General features: G+C 40.4%; 1 annotated feature.

Moving 5' to 3' along the window:
* Positions 11,303-11,916: an enhancer, noted in NCBI's record as "NANOG hESC enhancer chr18:9453672-9454285 (GRCh37/hg19 assembly coordinates)". NCBI's record gives its function as "activates a minimal SCP1, AML or CMV promoter by ChIP-STARR-seq in naive H9 embryonic stem cells {active_cell/tissue: H9 hESC(naive)}" and the evidence as "EXISTENCE:reporter gene assay evidence [ECO:0000049][PMID:30033119]".

The following is a 12,123-nucleotide window of genomic DNA, read 5'->3' as shown; positions in this document are numbered from 1 at the left end:
TCTCAGCAATGGTCTCTCAATAGCCCACCTTTCAATTGGATTTCCATAATTTTCTTCTGAAAGAGTCACACAAGCACTTTTCAAGCTCCTGTTTGCATGTTATTTACTAATATCTTACTGACCAAAACAAGTCACATGCCAAGCCCTCAGATTCAAGGGATGGAGAAATAGACTCTGTCTTTAGGTGGAAGATGCTGAAAATAATTAGTGGCCATTTATTTGGAGTCTATGACAAGAACTCTTCAATATCCTTGGCTTCTCAAGGAATTATATTATATCTTCCAAGGATCCATAAATTACTATGAATTGACAGCTTTGGCTGAACCAGCTGTCTTTTAGGGTAGTTGGCTAGGACTGTGGAAGTGCAAGAACAAAAATCAGAAGTGTGTTCACCATTCTATCTCTGATGACTGGTAGAATGCCTGGCATGTAATAGATGCTTAATAAATTTTTGTGTAATAAAGCTGTTAGACATCTTTCAGAATAAAGTGGAAATCTGTGTTAGCCCATTTTGCGTTGCTGTAAAGGAAGGCCCAAGACTAGGTAATTTATAAATAAAAGGGATTTATTTAGTTCACAGTTCTGCAGGCTGTACAAGAAACATGCCACCAGCATCTGCTTCTGGTGAGGACCTCAGGAAGCTTTTACTCCTGGTAGAAGATGAAGGCAGAGTAGTCATGTCACATGGCAAGAGAGGGAGCAAGAGAAAGGGGAGGAGGTGCAGGCTCTTTTAAACAAACAGCTCTCCTGTGAACTCAGAGCAAGATCTCTCATCCCCAAGGGGAGGGCATCAAGCCATTCATGAGGGATCCACCTCTATGACCCAAACACCTCCCACTAGGTTCACCTCCAACACTGGGGATCACATTTCAACATACAATTTTGAGGGGGCAAACATTGAAACTATATCAAAATCAAATTCAAACTCATTTTTTAAAATAAGGAGAATTTACTGGTACACCTAACCAGGAAGTGTAAGATACTGACTCCAGTTGCTTCTAGGGTTTCAAATGCCATCACCAGGACTCTCCGTTATTAACTTTAGATTCCTCTTTCTTTGGGTTGGATTCATTTTCTGGTAGACTTTCTCAATGTAGTGACAAAGATATCACCAAGTTTATTCTTGGGTGTTGTACCCTGTAACTGTATATATCTTCTTTCTCTGTTTAAAATAATAACATCTACTATTTCTGAAACGACTATTCTGTGTCAAGCACTGTACATTTAACTTAAATATATATTTATTTTTTGTTAAATATTTATATGACATAGTGGCTGAAGTCGTGGACCCTGGAGCCAGTCTGTCTGGATTTAACCCTATATCCATACAAATTCCAGATTATACCGAATAATTTTAGCTAACACTGTAGAATAGTTTATCCTTATATTTGAATTATGGCTATGTTTGAATGTTCCTTGCAATCCTTCAAATTAACAACAAAGCTATACTAAACGATCTGTCTCAAAATTTGGCAGTGAGGGATTGCGTGGTGGTGGTGCTGTTGGAAAGCTATTTTGTGCCTCCACACTTCTGCTAAATTCATTTTTCTTTCTCATTCCCTCCTGAGGTTGAGATAGTATTACTTCTAAATTCCCCCCTTTCTTCTGAGTTTTTGATATAACTTATCTACCCCCTCCTCAAAAGAAAGCATGCTAAGTCCTTTTGGTAGCTGAGCTTGCTCTTTCTTGAGTTTTTTTGGAGATAGGTTCTTGCTCTGTCCCCCAGGCTGGAGTGCAGTGGCACAATCATAGCTCACTTTAACCTCAAACTCCTGGGCCCAACGAATCTTCCTGATAGCTCACTTTAACCTCGAACTCCTGGGCCCAACGAATCTTCCTGCCTCAACTTCCCAAGCAGCTGGGACTACAGGTGTGTGCTACCATGCCCAGCTAATTTTTTAATGTTTTGTAGAGACGAGGGTCTTACTACGTTGCTCAGGCTGGTCTCAAACTCCTGGCCTCAAGCAATTCTCCCGCCTAGGACTCTCAAAGTGCTGGGATTACAGGTGTGAGCCACTGTTCTCAGCTGACTTTTTTTTCTACCTCCGTTATAGACTAAATATAGAAGAAAATATAGAAACGTTATCATGTTGACTGATTTGTTGAAAGTGGATGAATACTTCCCTCCCTCCAGTCCCATCCAAATCCTAAATGCTTTCCAGGAGTAAATAAACCATAAAGCTTATTCAGATAAGAAATTTTACCTCATAAGCATCTATCCAGTATAGCAAAGTTATTTGAATTTTCCATCATATGTTGTGAAGGCAATGCCTTGTTCAATCATTTCTTGGGGGGTAAATGGTAAAATTTATGTCACAAATTTAAATTATAGCATTTGCTTTTTAAGCATTATCAGTGATAACCGTGAGGCTATTTAGAATATTAATAATTTGGAGTTTGACCTTGTAGATAGTTTCAGTCTTAGATAAATCTCAACATCTAAAAGTATATAATGCTTCCTATGAAATTTTAAAATTTTTATTTTCATTTTTATCAGTTATCCATGCACATATTTTAAAGAGTCACATAGTACTTCAAGAGCTGTGGTGTAAACAGTGGTCAACTGTCTAACTCCCCTTCCCAATGCCAACATCCACTCTCCAGAGGCAATGACGTTCAACTCTTTTAACTAATTATTTTTATATTTACCTCTCTATTGCTAAATACAGATGCTCCTCAACTTATGATGGGGTAGTGTCCTAATAAACACACTATAAAATTGAAAATATCCTAAGTTGAAACTACATGTAGTAAACCTAACCTACCGAACATCGTAGCTTAGCCTCGCCTACCTTAAACATGCTCAGAACACTTACAGTAGCCTACAGCTGGGCAAAATTCTCTAACACAAAGTATATTTTATGATAAAGTATTGAAAAGATCAAAATTCGAAGTGTGATTTCTACTGAATGCATATCACTTTCACACCATTATAGAGTTGAAAAATGGTAAGTTGAACTATTGTAGGTTGGGGACTGTCTGTAGTGTGCTTACATTGTTATTTCTTGATGTTGAGAGGCAATTCTCCATGAATTTCTTGCATTTTTGAATGTCTCACAAGCAGAGGCACTTACAGCTTTTTTTCCAAGCTATCTTTTTTGGATATATGTACAGCAAAGCATTAGAAGAGATAGTCTCTCCGGAGTAGAGATCAGGTTTGCTCACTGTGCAGTATAATAAAGATGATGTCTCTTTCTGGGGCAAAGGCTGGACAGGTTTGTTTGCAGCCCATTATAAAAGATCGAATTTTCTATTTAAAGATTCCTCAGCTGTGATGCAAACCTTTTGCATGTGTAGTATCCACCTGTGCTGCCACACATCGCCCTCATGGGACTGAGTGAGTGTAAAAGGAATGATTGTGAATGTGAAGCTCATACCATTTGCTGTGCCACAACTAACAAAGTACTTTGCTTCTGACCCCAGAGTTTTGTATCTTCTGTTAGCATGCATGAACTGTGGCAGGCTAACTTGATAGCTTAAAGTACGGTAAAATCTCAGATTCTTCACAGTTCTTGACACTTGATTTTTCCACTTCTGGTACTACCAACTGATTAATCAGTATGGAATATGTGAGAAACTTCCTTTCCCTGCCTCCCATGGTCCCCATCTCTGTCACACACCTACATACACAGACTTCCTGTCTCCCTCAGTATAGTTAATATGACAATTTGGGTCAGATCAGTATTCAATATTTACATGATCGATGCTGTGCAAATACTGTTCACAGGTACATCATGTAATGTGCCATGATTACCTTTCTGTTCCTGCACAACTTTTTGTCTTCTGAAGATTTGATCAGCCTTCAGTGTTTACATGATTGACACTATGTTCTCAGATATATCATGTAATATGTCATAACTGCCCTTTCTTTCCTTCACAACTTTTCATTTTCTAAAGAGTTGATAATTGCCTTCTATTTATTTTATTGTGTTCTTAGTTTTCTATTTACTTATTGGTAATTTGTTCCCAAATTCTGCCTCAATTGTGTGTTCAATATATTTAAACACATAAGATGTTCTACTAGTTTCATCTTCTTGGAGACATCTCTCCCAGAGGTTCCCAACTTGCTCAAATTGCATTAGTTGCTCTCTAGGCATGCCTTCACTGTCATTTGGGGTATTCCTTTACCATCATCCTGGGCAGTCCCTTCATCATTTTATACTGGGTCCTGTCTCATTTGCTAGGGTTGTCATAATAAAGTATCATAGACTGAGTGGCTTAAACAACAGAAATTTATTTTCTCACAGTTCTAGAGGCTGGAAGTCTGAGATCAAGGTGTTGACAGGGTTAATTTCTTTTAAGGCCTCTCTCCTTGCCTTGTAGATGGCTGTCTTCTCTCTCTGTGTTCACAGTCTTTCCTCTGTGTGTGTCTGTGTCCTAATCTCCTCTTCTTACAAGTGCACTGCTCATATTGAATTAGGGTCCACCCATGTGACCTCATTTTACCTTAATTACCTCTTTAAAGGCCCTATCTCCAAAATACAGTCACATTCTGAGGTACTGGGGTTAGGACTTCAGCATATGAATTTTGGGGCCACAGTTCGGCCCATAACAGATTGCTTCTTTCCTGGATATGTCTTCTTCTTCCTTGGTTTACCCTTTCATTTTGGCAAAGCACATGTTCTAGTAGCTTTTTGAGAATTGATGTGTAGAGAATCATTTTTTGAGACCTTGCATATCTTAAAATGTCTTTTTTCTATGCGGACAATTAGTTGACTTGGTTTGACCAGCTATATTGATTGGCAATAATTCTTTTTCAGAATATTAAAGGCTTTGCTACAGTTTTCCTAGCTTCTAGTACTGCTGTTGAAAAATTCAATGTCACTCTGATTCCTAATCCTCTGTGAAAAATGCTTGAATTTTCCCACTCTCTGAGGGGAAAAAATGGTTTAAGATTCTTTATTTTGTCCCTAGTTTTATGAAATTTCATAATCATTTATCTAGAGTTTGGATTAATTTTATTATTTGGGGGAGTTAGGCACTTCATGGATGCTCTCAATCAAGGAACTCATGCACTTCAGTTCTGAGGATATTTTCATAAATTATTTCATTGATGCTTCCCTCCCCACTTCTCTGTTGTCTATTTCTGTAACTCTTATCATTTGGCATTGAATCTTTATACTGATCCTCTACTTTTATTGCCTTTTCTCTCCTATTTTTTTTTCGAATTTTTTTTTTTTTGAGAGATGGAGTCTCTCTGTATTGCCCAGTCTGTTCTTGAACTCCTGAGCTCAAGTGATCCTCCCATCTCAGCCTCCCAAAGGGCTGGAATTGCAGGCTTGAGCCACCATACCTGGCCTCCTTCCTATTTTCTAATTATTTGTCTTTTTGCTTAAATTTCTGGGAAATTTCTTCATTTTCAATGTATTTACTGAGTTTTTCATTTCTGTTTTCATAATTTCCAAGAAATTTTTGTTGTTATTGGTCTCTAAATTTTTTTACGTAAAAATTCGGTTTTCTACTTGCATGAGTTAACCTATCTTATTTTCCTGAGGCTAACAGAAAACAAATATATATCTTCTTGAATAATCTCTAATTCTCTCAGGTTGTGAGATTGCCATTTTTGTGGTTGTTTGTATTTGTTTTGGCTTCTGAATTTCTTTTTTATTTTTTTCTTTTTTATTTATTTATTTTTTTTAGACAAAGTCTCACTCTGTCACCAGGCTAGAGTGCAGTGGAATGATCTTGGCTCACTGCAACCTCCGCCTCCCAGGTTTAGGCGATTCTCCTGCCTCAGCCTCCCAAATAGCTGGGACTACAGGCGCATGCCACCATGCCCAGCTAATTTTTGTATTTTTAGTAGAGACGGAGGTTCATCATGTTGGCCAGTATGGTCTCGATCTCTTGACCTTGTGACCCACCCACCTCAGCCTCCCAAAGTGCTGGGATTACAGGGATGAGCCACCATGCCCGGCCTGATCTCTGAATTTCTTATTACAAACTTTCCTTAAATGTTCAGTAATCCTTGACTGTCCAAGTTTATTTAAAAGGGTAGAACTTTAAAAAAAAAAAAGCTGTATCACTCAGGCTGAAGTGCAATGGTACAATTGTAGCTCACTGCAGCCTCAACCTCCTGGACTTAAGCAATCCTCCCACCTCAGCCTCCCAAGTAGCCAGGACTATAAACATGGGCCACTAGGCCCCGCTAATTTTTTCTTTTTTTTTAAGAGATGGGGTCTCACTATGTCGCCCAGGCTGGTCTCACACTCCTGGACACAAGTGATTCTCCCACCATTGCCTTCCAATGTGCTGGGATTTATAGACATAAGCCACCATCCCTGGCCAGTCTGCAAGCTTTGTACATGTGGGTAGGGCTTGGGACTTGTGGGCCTCATTCATTGTCAGGTGGTCAGGCTGGGCCATTTTGTTGCATGTGTCAGATACCTGAATTCCTGCAAAAGATGGTTCCTCCTTTCCCTTGGGCATATAAAGTGTGGCAGCCATGAAGAATATAGCTCTTGGGTCTCTGACTGAAGGGATCACAACTGATTGATTGCTCCAGATACTCTGTTCCGAATGCATCACTGCATTCTTGCCAAGACCAGTCTTCCCATTGGCTTAGTCAATTACTAAGAGTTGCAGGAATACTAAAGCAGGACAATTCCTACAAGAAGCAGGATTCATCTCATGGGAGTCTTTGGCTTGAAGGCTCCTCATGGGCTTATCAAAACTTTCTTAGAACTGCACTGTAGTTTATGAATTCTATTCCTTCCTTGCTTCATTCTTCCCTTCCTTTCTTCCTTCCTTCTAACCTTTCTTCTTCCCTTTCTTCCTTCCTTCTTCCTTCTTTCCTTTCTCTCCTCTCCCTTCCTCCTCTCCCACCCTTTTGTCTTTCCTTTCTTCCTCCCTCTATTTACAAGTTTAACACATGTGTCATGACTGTTATCTCTCCCAGTTTCCACCAGTATCTTCCCAATTTTCTCTCAAGGCTGTTTTACCTAATTTATATCTCTTGGATGTCTTCTTGTCCCATCTTGGCATTTGCCTCTCAGCAGACTCTTACTAACAGACATAGTACAGAAATTGGAGTCTTAGAAAACAGACGAAAATATGGGGAGTTAGGATTTATTGACTCACCACTTGGCAGGTGTTAAGGATGCCATCTTGAAGGGTAAGTGGACACAGATAGTCCTGGCACATGTTCGTAGCCCAGTTGCTAAAGATTTTACCAGTGGTGAACTGGGAAAATGTCTAGGTGGAGGGGAGCACTCTTGCAGATAAAATGATTCAGGAATTTGAGAGCTATGAGGGGAACAATGCCTTCTATGACAGCTGAATTGGATAGTTGCTGATAAATTGTATTAATATCTTACAGATGGATAATTAGGAACTGAGCATCATTAATAAGCAGTTAATGGCCAAGAGCCATAAGGCCTTTTTGGGAGTACACAAGGAGGCCCTTATCTCCTGCAATAGAGAGCAGATACAGTGGAGCTCCAGGATGTTTGAAGTCTCAGCCAATAGCAGGTCTGTTATGCTAAGGGCAGAGTCCTGGTTGAGAAAACCTGGGACTCTGAAATATGGAATGGAGACAACTGGATGTTCACCTTTAAAGATGTTGACACTGTACCCACCCCCCACACTTTCAAAGGTGCCAACCTTCCACAGTAAGAGCTGACAGTTCTTCCATGATGGAAATCATTGCATAGGCCTCTCCCTGACAATATAAGAGGGGTATCCCTCAGTAGCTACTGCCGCTAGCTGTCCTGAGTTCCAAGCCAATAACTAGAATTGAATCCCAGCATAGCCTGGCAGGGACATGCTGGGCCTGATAGTGGGGGAAAGAGATGCTACTAAAGGAGTTGCTGGAATTGGCTAGCGTGTACTATTAGGAGTCAAGGGAGTACTACTGGAATTGGATTTTGAGCGTTCCTGTTCAAGAGATCAGAATGAAAGACTGGATAAGCAAGAATTCATTATTCTGGAACATTTTCTCAAGACATAAGATTTAACATGGTAAAAATCCCAAGGAACAGGGCAAACTTTTTTAGTTCAAAAGCCTAGAAAGGCTAGGAAAAGCAATAATTTAGAAGCCTAGAAAAAGCAATGACTAACACTCGGTGAAGCAGAAATGTCTGAGTTTCCCTGGGAGATGGTAGAGGAAAGAATGAAGAGGTTGAGGGAAGTTGGAATGGGTATAATATGTGAGGCTGTGTTGGAATGGGTATAATACGTGAGGCCAGAAGACCCCCCAGAGGGCCATGTTCCCCAGGAGGGCCCCAGGATGTGCCATCCACCAAGGCCATTAGACATGTGCTTGCTAGAGGGGCACCAGCATTACTAAGGTGTTCAGTGATCTCCTCCTTTGCAAGTCAGGAATGATGGTAGGAGAGACAGGCACAGAGCTGGACTTGCCAATATTCATGGGGAAAATGGGGCCTTGACATAATATAGGTTAGGCAGCAGCACTTAACATCCAGAGGCCAAGAGGCTTCATTTAACATAGTGACCAGTAAGGTCAAAGGGACAGCCATGGGGCGCAGCCAACGGGGAGTTATAAAGGTGGTTAACAGCACATGCTGTCCCTTAGGGAAAAATAAGCAGGCGGCTAACGAGCTGCTACTTGATATTGATACCCAAAAAAGGAAGCAAATATGAACCATTAGGAGTCCAAAGAAAGTCGTCCCCCATAAAGTCATAATTTCTTGCCCATTTCCCATGCCCAAGCCGATTGCCTGGCTGTCTGCTCAGGGATCTGAAAAGAAAAAGCCTGGAACATTGGCGATAAGGAGGCCTGGAGTGGAGGTATGTGGATGAACACATGGAATAGGGATAAAACGTGGGGACTGATTATTTCTTAAAAAGACTTTCACCCAATCCTCCTGGTTTTAGCTCTTAAACTTTTTGCCTACTGTTTCTAATTTCTGAGCTTTCTGGGGGAATTTCACAGTAAATTGACTTGCTTCGTGGCTGGGTTGGCCAAAGTGGTTAGCATATCAATCGCTTTGTAGCTTCCAAATGTCATTATTTTTGTCTCCTCTCTCCCATTCTCTTTGTCCTTGTGGGCTTGTGGTTTTTATTTTATTTAATGCTTCATTGTCATTTTGTTGGTGATATGGTTTGGCTGTGTCATCACCCAAATCTCATCTTGAATTGTAGTTCCCATAATTCCCACAGGTCATGGGAGGGACCTGGTGAGAGGTAGTTGAATCATGAGGGTGGTTACCCCCATGCTGTTCTCATGATAGTGAGTGAGTTCTCACAAGATCTGATGGTTTTATACGGGGCTTTTTCCCCTTTGCTCACCACTTCTCTCTCTCCTGCTGCCTTGTGAAGAAGGACATGTTGGCTTCCCCTTTTGCCATGATTGTAAGTTTCCTGAGACTTTCCCAGCCATTCTGAACTGTGAGGCAATTAAACCTCTTTCCTTCATAAATTACTCAGTCTTGATTATTTCTTCATAACAGCATGAGAACAGAGGGTTGGCTTCTAGGAGGGATTAGAGACTATTGCCTTTAGGTGGAAGTTGGCAAATTCTTTACCACAGAGAATCCTATTCAAGCTTTCCCTGTTTCAGTCTATAACCAGACATCTTAAGTTGTATTACTTTCATGGAAGGATTGAGCTTGGCTAGCTTTTGATGGACAATCAACAAAGAATTCCCTTCAAGTTTTCTACCAGTCATTAAAGAAACCTCTCCTCAACTCCAAGATGATTCACCAAAATATCGTATATACAACCCAGATGTGATTTGACCAGGCAGTCACAGTTAGGATGATGCTGGGAGAACCTCTACTCATAGACACTGAATTAGCAAGTAACTGTACTCATCCAGGCCACATTACTTTAACTTATCCACAAGGATACGAAAAATACTGTCAAACACTTTGCAAAAATCTGTATACACAATGAGCAGGCATACTTAGACTAGATAACGTGGCACAGAATTTTTGGTATTTGACAGAACTGAGTTTGAATGTTGGCTCTAATTCCTGCTTTATGTCAGGGTCAGCAAACTTTTTCTTAAAGGGCCAGATACTAAGCACTTTAGGTTTTGCAGTCCATATGGTCTCTGTTGCACTACTCAACTCTGCTGTTTATAGTGAAAAAGCAACCATAGACCGTATGTAAGCAAATGAATATGGCTGTGTTCCAAAATAACTTTATTTAGAAAAACAAGTGAAAGACTGAATTTGGCCCATGAGCCATACTTTGCTGATCTATGCTTTATGATTTTTTTTTTTTTTTTGAGATGAAGTCTCGCCCTGTCACCCAGGTTGGAGTGCAGTGGTGCAGTCTCATCTCACTGCAAATTCTGCCTCCCAGGTTCAAGAGATTCTCCTGCCTCAGCCTCAGGAGTAACTGGGATTACAGGCGTGTAACACCACATCCAGCTAATCTTTGTATTTTTAGTAGAGATGGGGTTTCACCATGTTGGCCAGGTTGGTCTCAAACTCCTGACCTCAGATGATCTGCCTGCCTTGGCCTCCCAAAGTGCTGGGATTATGGGCATGAGCCACTGCGCCCAGCCAATCATATTTTGTGTTTTTTTTGAGACGGAGTTTTGCTCTTGTTGCCCAGGCTGGAGTGCAATGGCACAATCTTGGCTCACCACAACCTGCCTCCCAGGTTGAAGCGATTCTCCTGCCTCAGCCTCCTGAGTAGCTGGGATTACAGGCATGCACCACCATGCCTGGCAAATTTTGTGTTTTTAGTAGAGACGGGGTTTCTCCATGTTGATCAGGCTGGTCTCGAACTCCCAACCTCAGGTGATCCGCCCACCTTGGCCTCCCAAAGTGCTGGGATTACAGGTAGGAGCCACCACTCCTGGCCAATCATATTTTTTTAACCTTTGTTAGGTCATTTGCAAAAATGGTGTTAATGCTAACTACTTTTTAGGGTTGTTCGGACACTTACGTGAAATAATATGGACCAAGGCAATGAAGTGGAGTCTCACAATCAAATAGACTTTGGGTTCGGTCTGGAATTTGCCACTTACTGTTTACAGGTGACCTTGAGTAAGTTTTTAAACCTCTCTAAAGTCTGTGGCCTGGCTGGATTGAACAAGGCCTGTGATAGTATGATTTGCAGAGGGTTGTTTAATGGAGCATAGACATTCCGATTCACTGCTCTATCTGTGGTTCTGCCTCTGGCTGCAACATGTAGATACGCTATTTGTGACTCAGCCAGAAACATTCACTTCAGCTCCCAATCTTTCCGAAGCACTTAATAGTTTTATTTAGTAATTTTTTCAAACAGATATTAGGTCACTGGCCCTCTCCCTTCCCATTTTCTCCTTCTTTTCCATTCATACCTAGCACAGAGCTTTCCAAACAGGAGAAGAGATGTCAGTCTTTATTTAAGGAATGCAGTGTTTCAGTCCTGTTGGATTCAGCTGTGCTTGTGGAGACGTGCCTTTAATGACTAAATTTTTAGTCTTCAAGTAAAGCAATCAGGTATTTCATCTTTTTCCTGAAGTTGAAACACAAAGAAAAGAGCCTTAACCAAAACAGGGCTTTGAAGTTTGCCATCAAAAGGATTTCCTTATAGTGGCTGTTGCAGGCTTTCAAAATGATAGGCTTTTAAAACTAGAGTGGGTTACCACTCCTTAGGGAGTCTAATTACAAGAAAAGATGATCAATTGAAATATCCTTCAATATTTTTGAAGTCTTTGATTTAAATGGCAGTATCTGGTAAACAAAGGATGTGAAATGTCCTACTAGTGAATATCTCAGAGTTCCTTTGTTAAGCAGTTTAAGTTGTGAAGTAAGCTGCAGGGTTCTAGAAGCTGAAGCAGTAACTAAAACCTAACATGGTTGGTGGAACTGTAAATTGGTGTAGGCTCCCTAGAGAGAAATTTAGGATATCTAACAAAATTTTAAATATACATAGACTGTGATCCAAAAACGTAGTCTAAGGTTATAATAGGACAAGTGTGGCATGCACAAGAATATTTAGACTATTGTTATTTTTAATAATGAAAGCTCCATCAACACGGGCTTGAATAAGTCAATTAAAATATATATATTGCAGTAGAATACTGTGTATAGTTTTTAAAAGACAGATTTTAAATTTTTGGCATGAATCATATTTATGACATACAGCAAACAGCAAAGTGTTCGTTATCTGGATGGAATATGCATGAGAACATGTTCTGTCTCTGTATTGTTTGAACTATTTATG

The sequence above is a fragment of the Homo sapiens genome, chromosome 18 (assembly GCF_000001405.40).
Source record: "Homo sapiens chromosome 18, GRCh38.p14 Primary Assembly".
NCBI classification, from domain to species: Eukaryota; Metazoa; Chordata; class Mammalia; order Primates; family Hominidae; genus Homo; species Homo sapiens.
Note: the sequence above shows the minus strand (reverse complement) of the source record. Positions and strands in the feature narration are given on the sequence as shown.